This window comes from Homo sapiens, chromosome 10 (genome assembly GCF_000001405.40).
Source record: "Homo sapiens chromosome 10, GRCh38.p14 Primary Assembly".
In the NCBI taxonomy this organism is placed as follows: Eukaryota; Metazoa; Chordata; class Mammalia; order Primates; family Hominidae; genus Homo; species Homo sapiens.
The window spans coordinates 32524293-32542756 of NC_000010.11; the positions used below are offsets into that span (position 1 = coordinate 32524293).

The 18464-nt window shown below is 38.7% G+C and overlaps 1 protein-coding gene across 44 annotated transcripts in view; it reads left to right on the plus strand.

The window, feature by feature from the left end:
• The window catches only part of CCDC7 (coiled-coil domain containing 7), a 439541-nt gene that overhangs the window by 80969 nt on the left and 340108 nt on the right, over positions 1-18464 (plus strand). The window lies entirely within an intron of this gene.

The window sequence follows — 18464 nt, forward strand, 5'->3', positions numbered from 1 at the left end:
TTCATCCACTTGTTTGTTAATTGTTTTCTTTTTGTACTGTGTCTTGAAAAAGCTGGTATAGTTATTATTTTTGTTTGTTTTATCACTGAGTCTTTTTATTTAAGTCAAGAGTAGTTTACACACCACAGTTATGGTGTTACATGATTCTGTGTTTTCTTGTGTGCTTACTATTACCAGTGAGTTTTGTACCTTCAGATGATTTCTCATTGCTCGCTAACATCCTTTCCTTTCAGATAAAAGAATTTCCTTTAGCATCTCTTATGGGACAGGTCTGGTGTTGATAAAATCCCTCAACTTTTGTTTATATGGAAAGGTCTTTATTTCTCTGCAATGCTTAAAGAATATTTTTGCCAGCTATACTATTCTAGGGTAAAAGGTTTTTTCCTTCAGATCATTAAATATGGTATGCCACTTTCTCCTGGCCTGTAAGTTTTCCACTGAAAGTCTGCTGCCAGACATATTTGAGGTCTATTGTATGTTATTTGTTTCTTTTCTCTTGCTGCTTTTAGGATCCTTTCCTTATCCTTTATCTTTGGGAGTCTGATTGTTACGTACCTTGAGGTAGTCTTCTTTGGGTTATATTTTCTTGCTGGTCTATAACCTTGTACTGGAATGTTGATATATTTCTCTAGGTTTGGGAAGTTGTTTGATATTATCCCTTTGAATAAACTATCTACCCCATCTCTTTCTCCTGTTCAAGGCCAATAACTCTTAAAGTGCCCTCATGAGGCTGTTTTCTAGATCTTGTACGTGTGCTTCATTGTGTGTTTTTTTTTTCTTTTGTCTCCTCTGTCTGTGTATTTTCAAATAGGGGGATGGGGGAGGGATAGCATTGGACAAATACCTAATGTAAATGACGAGTTAATGGGTGCAGCAAATCAACATGGCACATGTGTACATATGTAACAAACCTGCATGTTGTGCACATGTACCCTAGAACTTAAAGCATAATAAAAAAAAAAGAAAAGAAAAAAAAACCCAAATAGCCTGTCTTTAAGCTCAATAATTGTTTCTCTTGCTTGATCAATTCTGCTATTAAGAGAGTCTGATGCATTCTTCAGCATGTCAATTGCATTTTTCAATTCCAGAATTTCTGCTTGATTCTTTTAAAATATTTTAATCTCTTTGTTAAATTTATCTGATAGAATTCTGAATTCCTTCTCTGTATTATCTTGAATTTGAGTTTTCTGAAAACAGCTATTTGAGTTCTCTTTCTGAAAAGTCATATATCTCTGTTTCTCCAGGATTGGTTCTTCATGCCTTATTTGGTTCATTTGGTGAGGTTATGTTTTCTTAGATGGTGTTGAAGCTTGTAGATGTTTATAAGGGTCTGGATTTTGAAGAGTTAGATATTTATTGTAGTCTTCACAGTCTGAGCTTGTTTGTGTCTGTCCTTCTTGTGAAGACTTTTAAAGTATTTGAAGGGACTTGGGCCCCAAGCCCAATAATGCTGTATTTTTTGCAGACTCTTAGAGGTATCACCTTGATGGTCTTGGATAAGATCCAGAAGGATTCTCTGGATTACCAGGCAGGAACTTTTCTTTTTTTCCCTTACTTTCTCTCAAAGGAACAGAGTCTCTCTCTCTCTGCTGAGCCATCTGGAACTGGGGGTGTGTTGTGCAAGCACCCCTGTGGTCACCACCATTGAGACTGCACCAGGTCAGACTTGAAGCCAGCACAGGACTGGGCCTTTCCCAAGGCCCTTTCCTTCAGGGTGGTGTGTTCCCCCAAGCCCTAAGTGTGTTCAGAGATGCTGGCTGGGAGGCAGGGATGAGAGTAAAAACCTTAGCATTTTACCTGATGTTTTCTGCTATGGCTAAGCTGGAACTCAACCCATGATACAAAGTTCTTCCCACTCTGCCTTGCATAGGCAGAGAAGCCCCTCCCTGTGGCCACCACCACAAATGGGTCATGAGGGCTTCTGCCTGTACACACCGTTGATGCTGACTTAAAGCTCATGGTCTCTTCCTTCAGCTTGTGGTGAATGCTTCCAGGCCTGGGACTCACCCTTCAGGGCAGTGGGTTCCCCTCTGGCCCAGGTAAGGTCCAGAAATATTGTCCAGAAGTCTCAGCCTGGGCTCAGGGACCCCAAGAGCCTGCTCGTTGTTCTACCCCACTGTGGTTGAGCTGATACCTAGGGTGCAGGACAAAGTCACCTTTACGTTTCCCCCTTATTTTCTCAAACAGAAGGAGTCTTTCACCATAACCTCTATAGCTTGGAATGTCCTGAGTCACCCTTGAAGCCCCCATGTCTCAGAGCCCAGGCCCACAGTGTACTCTGTGCATATCACTGGTGGTTATTCAGGGCCCAGGGCTCTTTATTCAGGAGGTGATGACTCCTGCTAGTACTGGGTCCTTCACTTCAAGGCAGCATGCTCCCTTTTGGCCCAGGATGTGATTAGAAATGTCCAGGAGTGAGGGCCTGGAATAGTTGGCCTCATGACTCTCCTTGGTGCCCTATCCTACTGTACCTGAGCTAGTATCCAAGATGCAAGACAAAGTCCTCTTTACTCTTTGCTCTCTTCTCCTTAAGCAGGAGGGAGTCACTTTCGTTGCTGAGCTGCATTGCCTGGGGTTGGGGGAAGGGTGGCACAAGCATTCCCTTTGCCATACCAGGTGGTATCTTCGTAGGTCACGTGCCACCCAAGTTTACTGGCTTTAAGCCCAACCCTAGCCCTACAAATAGTCTAGAAATTGCAGTCCATGTGTCCTAGACTGCCTTTCAAGTGTACCTGGGACCCCAGAGCCCTTCAGTCCATGATGTTGAGGATTGCCAAGAAACTCAAGCTCGGCCACTAGTATGGTCACTTCCCCTCTGGCAAGGGCTGGTGCAAATGCTCCCTCCATGTGTGGGTGCTGGCTGAGCCCAGCATGGCTTTATTCTCTGCTGTGACAGGGCAGCGCTGGGTTCATTGTAAAGTCCCCCCACTGTTGTGCTCTCCCTCCCCAAAGTGCACAGATTCTTTCTCCACCCCACATGGCTGCTGCACTGTGATAGCGGATGAATAGCATCAGCATTTAATACTGTCTCTTCTGCCCTCCTCAATGCCTCTTTTGGCAATATGAAGTTAAAACGAGGAACTGCGATTGCTCACCTGATTTTTGGTTCTTCTGATGGTGCTTTCCTGTGTGTAGATAGTTGTTAAAATTTGGTGTTCCAACAGAGGGGACGAACAGTGTAGACTTCTATTTTGCCATCTTGCCACCACCATTTTTGTCTCAGCCCGTGCACATCATTTCTGCTTCACTCTTCACTTAAGCTTTCAGTATTCTAAAATATATTAAAGTCTGCTGGACCACATTTCTAATACTATATAAATGTGAAATGTAGTCAATGAATGACTTTACCTTCTCTTGTTATAAATTACTTAAAGAATTTCTCATAATGATGCAGATGTGCGAAGGAGAACTGTGGAAGTAATTGTTATATCCACACAAGGGTAGTGACCAAGAAATCTGAGAAGTAGTCTGTTTTCAGAGAAGGAAATTTAACATGGCAATTGGTGAAATAGGATGGTGGGTAGAGAATAATGGTTATGGAATATGTAGAACACAGGATTTCTAATTTTTATTTTTATTTTTAATTTTTTTATTTTTATAAATTTATGGGGTACAAGTGTAATATTGTTATATGCATAGACTGCATAGTGGTGAAGTCAGGACTTTTAAGTTCTCCATCACTCAAATAATGTATGTTAACATACCCATTAAATAATCTCTCATCATCTACCTCCCTGCCTACCCACTGACCCTTCCAAGTCATTCCTCACTCTAAGTCCATGTGTACACATTGTTTAGCTTCCACTTGTAAATTAGAATATGGGGTATTTGTCTTTCTATGTCTGGCTTGTTTCACTTAATATAATGGCCTCCAGTTTCATCCATGTTGCTTCAAATGACAGGATTCCATCCTTTTTATGGCTGAATGGCTGAATAATATTCCACTGTGTATATGTAGCACGTTTCTTTTTTTTTTAAATTGTAATAGGTTTTTGGGGAACAGGTTTTTGGTTACATGAATAGGTTCTTTAGTGGTGATTTCTGAGATTTTGGCGCATCCATCACCCAAGCAGTGTACACTGTACCCAATGTATATTTATCCCTCACCCCCCTCTTATCCTTTCCCCCGAGTCCTCAACACCCATTGCATTATTCTTATGCCTTTGCATCCTCATAGCTTAGGTCCCACTTATGAGTGAGAGCATACGGTGTTTGGTTTTCGATTCCTGAGTTACTTCACTTAGAATAATGGTCTCCAAATCTATCCAGGTTGCTGTGAATGACATTATTTCATTCCTTTTTATGGCTGAGTAGTATTCCATGGTATTCCATGGTATATGTATGTGTGTGTGTGTGTGTATATATATATACACACACATATATATATGCATATATATACACACACATATATATGTATATATACATATATACGTATTTACGTATATATGTATATATACATATATACGTATTTACATATACACACACATTATTCCATGGAATACTTTTATATATATATTTATATTTTCTTTATCCACTCATCGATTGATGGGCATTTGGGCTGGTTCCATATTTTTGCAGTTGCAAATTATGCTGCTATAAACATGCATTTGGAAATATCTTTTTTGTATAATGACTTCTTTTCCTCTGGGTAGATACCCAGTCGTGGGATTGCTGGATCAAATGGTAGATCTACTGTCTACTTGTAGTTTATTTTTATTTTATTTTATTTTATGTTATTTTTTATTTTGAGATGGAGTCTTGCCCTGTCACCCAGGCTGGAGAGCAATGGTGTGGTCTCAGCTCACTGCAACCTCTGCCTCCTGGGTTCAAATGATTCTCCTGCCTTGGCCTCCCAAGTAACTGGGGATTACAGGAACTCACTACCACGCCTGGCTAATTTTTGTATTTTTAGTAGAGATGGGGTTTCACATGTTGGCCAGGCTGGGCTTGAGCTCCTGACCTTGTGATCTGCCTGCCTCAGCCTCCCAAAGTGCTGGGACTACAGGCATGAGCCACTGCGCCCAGCCTACTTGTAATTTTTAAAGGAATTGCCACACTGTTTTCCATAGCAGTTGTACTAGTTTACATTCCCACCAGTAGTGTAAAAGTGTACCCTTTTTACTATATCCACACCAACATCTATTATTTTTTGATTCTTTGATTATGGCCATTCTTGCAGGAGTAAGGTGGTATTGCATTGTGGTTTTGTATCATATTTCCCTGATCATTAGTGATGTTGAGCATTTTTTTATGTTTATTGGCCATTTGTATATCTTCTTTTGAAAATTGTCTATTCATGTCCTTAGCCTGCTTTTTAGTGGGATTACTTGTTTTGTTCCTGCTAATTTGTTTCAGTTCCTTGTAGATTCTGGATATTAGTCTTTTGTCAGATGTATAGATTGTGAGAATTTTCTCCCATGCTGTGGGTTGTCTCTTTACTCTGTTGATTGTTTCTTTTCCTGTGCAGAAGGTTTTTAGTTTAATTGAGTCCCATCTATTTATCTTTGTTTTTGTTGCATTTGCTTTTGGGTTCTTGGTTATGAAGTCTTTGCCTAAGCCAATGTCTAGAAGGGTTTTTCCATGTTATCTTCTAGAATCTTTACGGTTTCAGGCCTTAGATTTAAGTCTTTGATCCATCTTGAGTTGATTTTTGTATAAGGTGAAAGATGAGGATCCAGTTACATTCTCTTACATGAGGCTTGCCAATTATCCCAGCACCATTTGTTGAATAGGGTGTCCTTTCCCCACTTTATGTTTTTCTTTGCTTTGTCAAAGATCAGTTGACTATAAGTATTTGGCTTTATTTCTGGGTTCTCCATTTTGTACTGGTGGTCTATATGCCTGTTTTTATACCAGTACCACGCTATTTTGGTGACTATAGCCTTATAGTATAGTTGGAAGTCAGGCGATGTGATGCTTCCAGATTTCTTCTTTTTGCTTAGTCTTGCTTTGGCTATGTGGGCTCTTTTTTCATTCCACATGAATTTTAGGATTGTTTTTTCTAGTTCTGTGAAGAATGATGTTAGTATTTTTATGGGAATTGCATTGAGTTTGTAGATTGCTTTTGGCAGTATGGTCATACATACCTCAAAATAATAAAGGTCATTTATAACAAACCCACAGCTAACACTATACTGAATGGGGAAAAACTGAAGGCCTTTTGTCCAAGGAATGGAACAAGACAAGGATGCCTACTGTCACCACTTTTATTAAACACAACACTGTTTATGTTTTAAATGGGATGGTTTTCTTGATTTCTTTTTCAGTTAAGTGAAATGGTATATAATTGGTACTGTTTTTTGTATATTGATTTTGTATCCTGCAACTTTATTGAATTTGTTCATCAGTTCTAACAGTTTTCTTGGGGGTTGACTCTAGGTTTTTCTAGGTATAAGGTTATATTATCTGTGAACAAGGCTAATTAGACTTCTTCCTTTACAATTTGGATTCCCTTTATTTCTTTTTGTTACCTAATTTTTCTGGCCAGGACTTCCAGTGTTATGTTTAATAAAAGTGGTGAAAGTTGACATCCTTGTCTTGTTCCAGTCCTTGGAGGAAAGACCTTCAATTTTTCCCCATTCAGTATAATGTTAGCTTGGGTTTGTTATAGATGATCTTTATAATTTTGAGTTATGTTCCATCTATACCTATTTTGATGAGGGTTTTTATCGTAAAGGATGTTGAAGTTTATCAAATGCTTTTTCAGCAGCTATTGAAATAAACATGGTTTTTCTTCCTGATTCTGTTAATATGATATATCATGTTTATTGATTTGTAAACATTGAACCATCTTTATGTTCCTGGGATGATGGATCTTACTTGATTATGGTGATTGATTCTTTTTTTTTGAGACAGAGTCTCATTCTGTCACCCAGGCTGGAGTGCAATGGTGTGATTTTGGCTCACTGCAGCTTTGGCCTCCTGGGCTCAAGCAATCCTTCCCCCTCAGCTTCCCTAGTAGCTGGAACCACAGGTGTGTGCCACCATGCCTGGCTATTGTTCTTTATCTTTTACAGAGATGAGGTCTCACTATGTTGCTCAGGCTTGTCTTGAACTCCTGGATGGAAGTGATCCTCCTACCTCAGCCTCCCAAAATGTTGGAATTATATATGTGAGCCACTGCACCTAGCCATGAATGATCTTTAAAGGTGTTGTTGAATGTGGTTTGTATTTTGTTGCAGATTTTTACATCTATGTTCATCAGTCATATGGGTGTGTAGTTTTCGTTTTTTGCTGTGTCTCTGTCTGGTTTTGATATCAAGGTAATGCTGGCCTTGTAGAATGCATTTGGAAGCACTCCCTTCTCTTCTACTTTTGAAGGATTTGAGTAGGATTGGTATTAGATCTTTAAATGTTCAGTAAAATCCAGCAGTGAAACCATCAGGTCCTGGGTTTAACTTTGTTGGGAGACTTTCTATTACACCTTGATCTTGTTACTTATTATTGGTTTGCTGATGTTTTCTATTTCTCCATGGTTCAATCTTGGTAGGTTGAGTGTGTCCAGGAATTTATCTATTTCTTCTAGGTATTCCAATTTGTTGACTATTGTTGTTCATAGTAGTCTCTAGTAATTCTTTGTATTCTGAGGTCTCAGTTGTTATTTCTGCTTTTTAGCTTCTGATTTTATTTATCTGGGTTTTTCTCTTTTTTCTTAGTCTAAAGGCTTATCAATGTTGTTTATCTTTTCAAAACATCAACTTTTTCTTTGTTGATTTTCTGCACATTTCTTAGTCTCAATATCATGTATTTCTGCTTTAATCTTCATTATTTCTTTTCTTCTACTTATTTTGGGTTTGATTTCTTTTTCCTTTTGTAGTTCCTTGAGGTTCATCATTAGGTTATTTGAAGTCTTTCTACTTTTTTCCTTAACATTGGCGTTTATTGCTATAAATTTTCTTCTTAATGCCTTTGCCATATTCCATAAACTTTGGTATGTTGTATTCCCATTTTCATTTGTTTGAAGAAATTTTTAAGTGTCATTCTTAATTTCTTTATTGACCCATTGGTTGTTTAGGAACGTGGTAACATCTATGTGTTTGTGTATTTTTTGAGGTTTTCCTTTTGTTAATTGATTTATAGTTTTATTCTATTTAAGTTACAAATTATACTTGATATGATTTCTATGTTTTGCATTTGTTAAGATTTGTTTGGTAGCCTAAGATATGGTCTATCCTGGAGAATGCTCCAATATTGATGAAAACAATGTGTATTCTGCGGCAGTTGGGCAACATGTTCTGTAAATGCCAGATAGGCCTATTACATTTTGTGTGTTGTTTAAAGTCCCTTACTGTTATTGTATTACAGTTTATCTCTCCCTAGAGATCTATACTTTAGTTAATGTTTGCTTTATATATCTGGGAGTTCTGTTGTTGGATGCACAGATATTTATAGTTGCTACATGCTCTTGCTGAATTGACCTCTTTATTATTATATAGTGACTTTGTCTCTTTTTGCAATCTTAGATTTATAGTCTATTTTATCTAAGTATAGCTACTCCTGCTCTTTTTTGGCTTCCAGTTACATGGAATATATTTTTCCACTCCATTCACTTTCAGGCTGTGTGTGTCTTTAGGGTTTCTTGGGAGCAGCGTATCATTGAGTCTTGTTTCTTTACTCATTCAGCCACTCTATGGGTTTTAATTGAAGAATTGAGACCATTTACACTCAGTGTTATTGTTTATAAGTAAGATCTTACTATGACCATTTTGATGCCTGTTTTCTGATTGTTTTGAGTCCTTCTTTTCTTTATTTCTTACTGTTTTCCTTTGTGGTTAAGTAATTTTTTATGATAATATGTTCTGATTTATTGCTTTTGACTTTTAGTGAATCTATTACATGTTTTTGTGATGTGGTTACTATTAGGCTTACAAAGAACATTGTATAGATATAACAAGTTGTTTTAAAGAGATGATAATTTATCTTTAATCCCAAATAAAAGAATAGAAACAAAGGAAACACACACACACACACACACACACACACACACAATTCTACACTTTAACTTCTCCCCCACATTTTGACTAAGTTGTCTCAATTTATGTATTTTATATTACCAATCTCTTAACAGGTTGCTGTAATATTTTTATTTTTGATAGACTTGTCTTTGGACTTCATAATAGATTTATGAGCAAATTGCACACCACAGTTGCAATATAGAGTATTTTGGGTTTCTTCATGTACTTAATTTTACCAAGGCGTTTTATACCTGGAAAAGTTTTTTTTTATTTTGCACGTTGGTGTTTTATTTTTTTTCAGATTGAAGAACTCCCTTTAGCATTTTTTATAAGATGGGTCTGGTAGTTGTGAATTCTCTCAGCTTTATTTTGTCTGGAGAAGACTTTATATCTCCTTCATATTTGAAGGATAATTTTGATGGATACAATATTCTTGAATGGAAGTTGTCTTCTTTCAACACTTTGAAAATCTCATTCTATTGCCTCCTGGCCTGTATTATTTTCATTGAAAAGTCTGTTGCTAGGCAAATTGGAGCTTTTTAATATGTTATTTGCTTCTTTTCTCTTGCTTCTTTTAGGATTCTCTTTGTCCTTGACCTTTGAGAGCTTCATTATTATATGTCTTATGTAGTCTTACTTGGGTTGAATCTTTTTGGTGTTCTCAGAATTTCTTTTACCTGGATATTGACATCTTTCAGAAGTTTTGGAAAGTTTTCTGTTATTATTTCTTTGGGTAAGTTTTCTACCCCTTTCTTTTCCTCAGCTCTCTCTTGAACACCAATAATTTTTAGATTTGGTTCTTTAAAATAATTTTCTATATCTTGAAGGTAATTTTTATTCCTTTTCATTCTTTCTTCTTTTTTCTCCTTTTTGTATTTTCAAATAGCCAATCTTAGATTTCACTGAATTTTTCTCCTCTACTTGGTCCATTCTGCTGTTGAGAGCCTCTAATGAGTTCTTCAGTTCAGCAAATGTATTTCTCAGTTCCAAGATTTGTTTGAGTTTTAAAAAATTATTTTAAACTTGTTGTTAAATTTATCTGGTATATTTCTGAATTTCTTTTTTGTGCTACCTTGGAGATCACTGAGTTTCCTTAAAACTGTTGTTTTGAATTCTTGTTCCGAGAACTCATGAATTAACATCTTGTTATGGTCAGTCATGGTGTTTTTGCTTTGTCCTTTTGGGGAGGTTATGATTTCTTGTTTGCTGTTGTTTCTTGTGGGTATATGCCTGTGCCTTTGCTTTGAAGAATTACTTATTTATTCCCATTTTCTCGTTCTGGAAAAAAATGGATGTATTTGCTTAGCAAGTATTTATCACTGGTTTGCTGCTTTTTTGGGGGTGCTCTTGGTGGCTCCTTAAATCCTGGTTGACCTCAGCTCTAGTAAATGATGAGAGTGCTGCTTGTCTGGAATTGGGGAGGTCCCAAAAGGTTTATCCCAGCAGTGTAGGAAGGCTGGCCAGGGATTTGGGCCAAAGGATTTGGGAATGAATATTCCTTCTACGATGTGGTCCTGCTGAATAGCCACTCTGACTTGACATCTCCTTTGGTCAAGTTACAGAGTTTCCAGGGCTGGGGATGGTAGTTTTACTTTTCTTCTTTGTCTTTGTCTGTTGTTGGTAATATTTCTCCCTTTAGGCAGTCATAATGCTTCCTGAGGGTTAAAGCAAGTACAGGTCTCCTGTCAAGGAACCCAGCATTGGTGGGAAAGCTGGTTGACCCCCTCATTCTCACTTTTTGCAGTGTAGAAACTTGGAGTTGGGGGAAGATTTTCTTCTGCATGCTTGTCGCAGGACAGAATGTGAGGAGGGGCATCATGGATGTGGAAGTCCGATTTTCCTACCATCTGCCCGGAGTTTTTTCACTTCTCTGGGTGAAAAACTCCGGGCAGATGGTAGGAAAATATGTCCCATCCTTATATTTATGTTCTGGGTTGTTGCTGGTGAAAATCTCAGTGCTCTGTATTTAACTTATGAGAAGATTGCCACTATAGTGAATTTGGTATCCATTGGGAGTTGTGGTTTAAAACAAGAAATAACCACCTAATGCCTTAATAGGTAATTATTATTAAGCTAATCTAATTTTTAAAAATATTTAAAGAAGTTTACCCTGAGCCAAATATGAGTGACCAAGGCAATTGGGTTACAGTTTGGTTTTATACATTTTAGGGAGACATAAGACATCAATCAATACATGTGAAGTATACATTGGTTTCGTCAGGAAAGGTGGGACAACTTGAAGGAAGGATGCGTGTGTGGGGTGCTTACAGGTCATAGATGGATTCAAGGTTTTCTGACTGGCAGTTGATTGAAAGAGTCAAGTTATTATTATCCAAAGATCTGGAATCAATAGAAAGGAGTGTCTAGGTAAAGAGAAGGGGCTTGGAGACCAAGGTTCTTATTATACGAAATCTCATAGGTGGCTGCCCTTAGAAACAATAGATAGCAAATGTTTCCTGTTTAGACCTTTAAGAGGTGCTGGACTCTCAGCTAATCTCTTCAAGGTTGGGAGGAAAGGGGAAAGATATTACGTTAATTACGTTAATAGAAGTTATTTGCAGATGCAGATTTCCCTGGTAGAAGATGGCTTTGCAGGACTGTTTCAAAATATGGCAAAGAAACATATTTTGGGGTTAAATATTTGGATTTCCTTCTTTATCTGTCATGTGATGTGATGCCAGAGTCAGGTTGGATAGTAAGCAATGTTATATAGGGTTAAATAAAATGCATCTATTTAGATTTTATGGTTTATAGGGCATGTCTTCCCAGACCCCTTAAATAGGAATTTCAGCAAGAGAGAGAAAAGGTCAAAGTTTAGTCCTTGCTGGGATAGCCAGGTTGCTAGTTTACTCTAGAAGTAACCCCTCCCTCACTTTGTTTCTTGCTGCACATGTATCTAACTACCCGTTTGCTTGAGAATTCCAAAAGCTAATCTTGAAACAATCCAGGCAGGAAGCAGAGAGGGTGGTTGCAATTTTCTCCCTTCCAGGAAGAAATTGGAGCAGTTAGTCTATGATCAGACCCCTGCAGAAATTACACCAGCCAGGCCTGTGGATGGTCTGTTACCCCAGCTAGCCATCAGAAAACAACAAGCAGACCTACACCCCATGCCTCTCCTGTGCATCATTTCCATGCCACCTTTCCCCTTAAACATCCTCTAGGCAGCTTGAGATTTTGAGATGGCTTTTTGAGACTTGAGTCTTGCTGTCTCACAAGCTGCTAGCACTTGAATATACCTGTTTTCTCCCAGCAAACCTCACACTTCGGTTAACTTTTATTTTAGGTTTAGGGGTACATGAGCAGGTTTGTTATATAGGTAAACTGCATGTCATGGGTGTTTGGTGTACAGATAATTTTATCACCTGGGTAATAAGCATAGTACCAGATAGGTATTTTTTCTAATCCCCTTCCTCCTACCACTCTCCACTCTCAAGTAGGCCCCAATGTCTGATGTTCCTCTCCTAGAATCCATGTGGTCTTGTTGTTTAGCTCCCCCTTATAAGTAAGATCATGGGGTATTTGGCACTAGCCATTTGGATAATGGCTTCCAGCTCCATCTGTGTTGCTGCAGAGGATATTATCTCATTATTTTTTATAGCTACATAGTATTCCATGGAGTATACATATCACATTTTCTTTATCCAGCCCACCGTTGTTGGGCATTTAGGTTGACTCCCTGTATTTGCTATTGTGAATAGTGCTGCAATAAACATATATGTGCATGTGTCTTCATGGTAGAATGATTTATATATTCCTTTGGGTATATACCCAACAATGAGATTGCTGGGTCAAATAGTTATTCTTTTTTAAGTTCTTTGAGGAATCACTACACTGCTTTCTACAATGGCTGAACTAATTTACACTCCCACCAGCAGTGCATAAGTCTTCCCTTTTCTCCTCAACCTCACTGGCATCTGTTACTTTTTGACTTTTTAATAATTGGCATTCTGACTGGTATGAGATGGTATTTTATTATAGTTTTGGTTTGCACTTCTCTAATGATTACTGATGTTGTGCATTTTTTGTATGTTTGTTGGCTACATGTATGTCTTCTTTTGAAAAGTGTCCATTCATGTCCTTTGTCCCCTTTTTAATGGAGTCATTTTTTCCTTGTAAATTTGTTTAAGTTCCTTATAGATTCTGGATATAACACCTTTGTCAGATGCATAGTTTACAAATATTTTCTCCCAATCTCTAGGTTGCCTGTTTACTCTGTTGATAGTTTCTTTTGTTATGCAGAAGCTCTTTAGTTTGGATCTCATTTGTTAATTTTTGTTTTTGTCGAAATGGCTTTTGGCATCTTTATCATGAAATCTTTGCCAAGTCCTATGTCCAGAATGGTATTTCCTAGGTTATCTTCCAGAGTTTTTATAGTTTTGGGTTTTCATTTAAGTCTTTAATTGATTTTAAGTTGATTTTTGAATGTGGTGTAAGGTAGGGGTACAGTTTCAGTCTTCTGCATATGGCTGGCCAGTTATTCCAGCCTCATTTTTTGAATGGGGAGTCCTTTCTTCATTGCTTGTTTTTGTCAGGTTTATTGAAGATCAGATAGTTTTAGGTGTGCAGCCTTATTTCTGGCTTCTCTATTCTGTTCCATTGGCCTAGGTGTCTGTTTTTGCACCTGTACCATGCTGTTTTGGTTACTGTAGCCCTTTAGTATAGTTTTAAGTTGGGTATGTGATGCCTCTAACTTTATTCTTTTTGCTTAGGATTGCCTTGGCTATTCCAACTCTTTTTTGGTTCCTTACGCATTTTAGAATAGTTTTTTCTATTTCTGTGAAGAACGACATTGGTAGTTTGATAGGAATAGCATTGAATCTTTAAATCACTTTGGGCAGTATGACCATTTTAACAATATTGAGTCTCCCTATCCATGAGCATGGAATGTTTTCCCATTTTTTTGTGTCATCTGATTTCTTTGAGCAGTGTTTTAAAGTTCTCATTGTGGAGATCTTTCACCTCCCTAGTTAGCTATATTCCTAGATATTTTATTCTTTTTGTGGCAGTTGAGAATGGGATTGTATTCCTGATTTGGCTCTTGGCTTGGATGTTGTTGTATAGGAGTGCTACTAATTTTGTATATGGACTTCGTACCCTGAAACTTTGCTGACGTTGTTCATCAGCTGAAGGAGATTTTGGGCCAAGCCTATGGAGTTTTCTAGATATAGAATCATGCCATCAAACAGGGGTAGTTTCACTTCCTCTCTTCCTATCTGGATGCCCTTTATTGCTTTCCCTTGCCCGATTGCTCTTGCCAGGACTTCTAATATTGTGTTGGATAGAAATGGTGAGAGAGGGCATCTTTGTCTTGTGCTGGTTTTCAAGGGAAATGCTTTCAGCTTTTGCCTATTCAATATGATGTTGGCTGTGGTTTTGTCATAGATAGCTTTTATTATTTTGATGCATGTTCCTTCAATGCCTAGTTTATTGAAGGTTTTTAACATGAAGAGAGTTGAATTTTATTGAAAGTCTTTTCTGCCTCTGTTGAGATAATACTATGGTTTTGGTTTTTAGTTTTATTTATTTGGTGAATCAGATTTATTGATTTGCCTATGTTGAATCAACTTTGCATCCCAGGGATAGAGCCTATTTGATCATGGCGGATTACGTTTTTGATGTGCTTCTGGAAGCAGTTTGCTAGTATTTTGTTGAGGAGATTTTTGCATCTATGTTCATCAAGATATTGGCCTGAAGTTTTCTTTATTTGTTGTGTCTCTGCCAAGTTTTGGTATCAGGATGATGCTGGCCTCATAGAATGAGTTAGGGAGGAGTCCCTCCTCCTCAGTTTTTTTGAATAATTTTAGTAGGAATTTAGTAGCAATCATTTAGTAGGAATGGCACCAGCGCTTCTTTATATATCTGGTAGAATTTGGCTGTGAATCTCTCTGGTCCTGGGCTTTTTTTTTGGTAAGCTTTTTGTTACTAATTCAATTTTGGAAATTGTTATTGGTCTGCTCAGGGATTCAGTTTCTTCCTGGATCATTTTTGGGTGGTTGTATGTGTCCAGGAATTTATCCATTTCTAGTTTGATGTACTCATTTCTAGTATAGATTTTCTGGTTTGTGTGCATAGAGGCGATCATAGTAGTTTCTGATGGTGATTTGTATTTCTGTGGTGTCAGTGGTAACATCTGCTTTGTCATCTCTAATTGTGTTTATCAGGATCTTCTCTCTGTTTTTATTTGTGTAGCTAGTGGTCTATCTTATTATTTTTTTTTATAAAACCAATTTCTGGATCTGTTGATCTTTTGTATTTTTTTTGTATCTCAATTTCTTCAGTTCAATTCTGATTTTGGTACTTCTTGCCTTTTGCTTGCCTTGAGGTTGGTTTACTCTTCTTCTTCTAGTTGTGATGTTAGGTTGTTAATTTTAGATCTTTCTAACTTTTTCATGTTGGGCATTTAGTGTTATAAACTTCCCTCTTAACACTGCCTTAGTTGTGTACTAGATTTTCTGATATGTTGTATCTTTGTTCTCATTAGTTTCAAAGAACTTCCTAACTTCTGCCTTAATTTCATTGTTTACCCAAATGTCATTCAGGAGGAGGTTGTTTAATTTCCGCATAATTGTATGGTTTTGAGTGATTTTCTTAGTCTTGGTTTCTATTTTTATTTTGCTGTAGTCTGAGAGTGTGGTTGGTATGATTTTGATTTTTTTTTAACTTGCTAAGGATTATTTTATTGCCAGTTAGATTTTTTGGAGTATGTGCTATGTCGTGATGAGAAGAATGTATATTCTGTTGTTTTTGGGTGGAGACTTGTGTAGTGTCTATTTGTCCACTAGTCAAGTGTTGAGTTTAGGTGCTGAATATCTTTGTTTATTTTCTGCCTCAATGGTCTAATACTGTCAGTGGGGACTTCTGTTTAATAGCAATCTCCCACTATTATTGTGTGTGGGTCTAAGTCTCTTTGTAGGTCCCTAAGAACTTGCTTACCCTGGGTATCAATCTGGGCGGTCCTATGTTGGGTGTGTATATGTTTAGAATAGTTAAATCTTCTTGCAGAATTGAACCCTTTACCAATATGTACTGCCCATCTTTACCTTTTTTGATCTTTATTTGCTTAAAGTCCCATTTTGCCTGAAATTAGGTTTGCAACTCCTGCTTTTTCCTGTTTTCCATGTGCATGGTAAATTTTTCTCTGTCTTTTAATTTTGAGCCTATGATTGTCATTGCCTGTGAGATGGATCTCTTGAAGATAGCATACCCATTGGGTCTTGCTTCCTTTTCCAGCTTGCCACTCTGTACCTTTTAATTTGGGCATTTAGCCCATTTGCATTCTCTGTTAATATTGATATGTATGGGTTTGATCTCGCTATCATGTTGTTAGCATTTGATTGCCTGAAAAGATCTTATTTCTCTTCCACTTATGACATTCAGTTTGGCTGGATATGAAATTCGTGGCTGGAAATTTTTTTCTTTAGGAATGCTGAATATAGGCTACCCCCAACCCAGTCTCTTCTGGCTTGTAGGGTTTCTGCTGAAAGGCCCACTTTTAGCCTGATGGGTGGGGTTCTTTTTGTAGGTGACCTGCACATTCTCTCTAGTTGCCTTTATCATTTTTTCTTTCATGTTGACCTTTGAAAATCTGACGATTATGTGTCTTGGGGATTATCTTCTTATGTAATACCTTTCAGGGGCTCTGTATATTTCCCGGATTTGAATGTTGTCCTCTCTAGCGAGGTTGGGTAAGTGTTCATCAATGATATAGCAAAATATGTTTTCCAGGTTGCTTGCTTTTTCCCCGCCTCTTTCAGGAACCAATCAGTCATAGATTTGACCTCTACCTAACCCCAAATTTCTGAGTTTTTTTTTTTTCATTCTTTTTTCTTTGTTTTTGTCTGATTGATTTATTTTAGAGAGCCACAGGGGTGGATAGAGTTGCTCGCCCTGCCTTCTGGGTGTTTCCAGGGTAGCAGGAGGCAAATTCAGGCAGAAGTAGGACCACTGAGCTAGAAGCTCTAGCAGGCATGGCTCACCTGGCTACCAGCAGTGGGGGTGGGCGAGGATGCCTGCTCTATAGTCTAGATGCTTCCTGGAACAACATGAAGGTGCACCCTCTCACTGAGTTTACACAGAAACATGGCCACTGGGCTGGAAGCTCTAGGAGGTGTTGCCCATATGGGTATCAATGGGAGGGGTGGGTGGGGTCACCTGCTCAGCTCTCTGGGTATTTCCTGGGAAAACAGGTGGCTACACCCTCCAGCTGAGTTCACACAAGAGCAGGACTGCTGGGCTGGAAGCTCTAGCAAGCCTTACCCGCCTGGCTACCAGTGGTGAGGGTGGGTGGAATGGCCAGCTGAGTTCGGCCCAAAGTGGGCCTGCTAGTCCAGAAGCTGGCCTTGAGCCTCATCTGGCAAGAATACATGGATAAATCATACAGCTCCCAGGCACTGCAACTGTGGTCTTTACTGAGGCAGTGACATTGGTGCTGGTCTGCCCTTGGGCCCAAGGCTTGTAGAGGTCACCGTGGACTCAAGAGTTGCCCCCACAAAATGTCCCAGTGGCTCCTACCTCAGTCTAGAAATGTGGTGGAGTTGGTGGGGGCCCAGGGGGATTCTCCCACTCCCAGTCTTGCACAGGTCCCTGTGGAGAGCTGAATCCCCCTAGGGGCTCTCACCCTTTCACATGTTGGAAAATGGTTCACTTACTCAGCCTTTCCCATATTGAAAGGTTCTCCTGGCTCTGCACTGAGCCCAGACATGCTGGTGCCTCACCTCACTCCTCTCTGCTCTCTGTTACCCTGCTGCCTTGATGGATAGTAACGTGGTTTCTCAGATGATCGGCCTACAGGGTCAATGTTCACTAGCCCCTTTTGTTTCTGCTCTGTGAGAATGGTGCATATGAGATGCTTCTAGTCAGCTATCTTGTCCAAACGTCCTAAAATTTTTAATAATCTAATTGTTAATTTTTCCCTTACTTTCTTTTATAAAATGATCTTCTACTACACAGCAGCTCAAGAATACTTTAAAACCTGATTAGTTCTGCTATAATATTTGTTTTGAAATGCAAACTTGTTCCAACATAATTGAACGATTTGAGCATAGTTTGAATTTCACATATGCTTAAGCAATTTCATCTGCAAAAACAATGAGTGAAAGCAGAAAGGCCGGGTGCAGTGTCTCGTGCCTGTAATCCCAGCACTTTGGGAGGCCGAGGCGGGCGGATCACCAGAGGTCAGGAGTTCAAGACCAGCCTGATCAATATGGTGAAATCCTGTCTCTACTAAAAATACAAAAATTAGCCGGGCGTGGTGGCGTGCCCCTGTAGTCCCAGCTACTGAGGAGGCTGAGACAGGAGAATTGCTTGAACCCAGGAGGCAGAGCTTGCAGTGAGCCGAGATCATGCCACTGCATTCCAGCCTGGACAACAGAGTGAGACTCCCATCTCAAAAAAAAAAAAAAAAAAAAGCAGAAAGCAACTTTCTCCATCTACCTTGGTTCACCTGTATATAGTGTGCCACACCAGCTCACATCTGGTGGTATGACATTTTAATTTCAGATAATTTCCTTC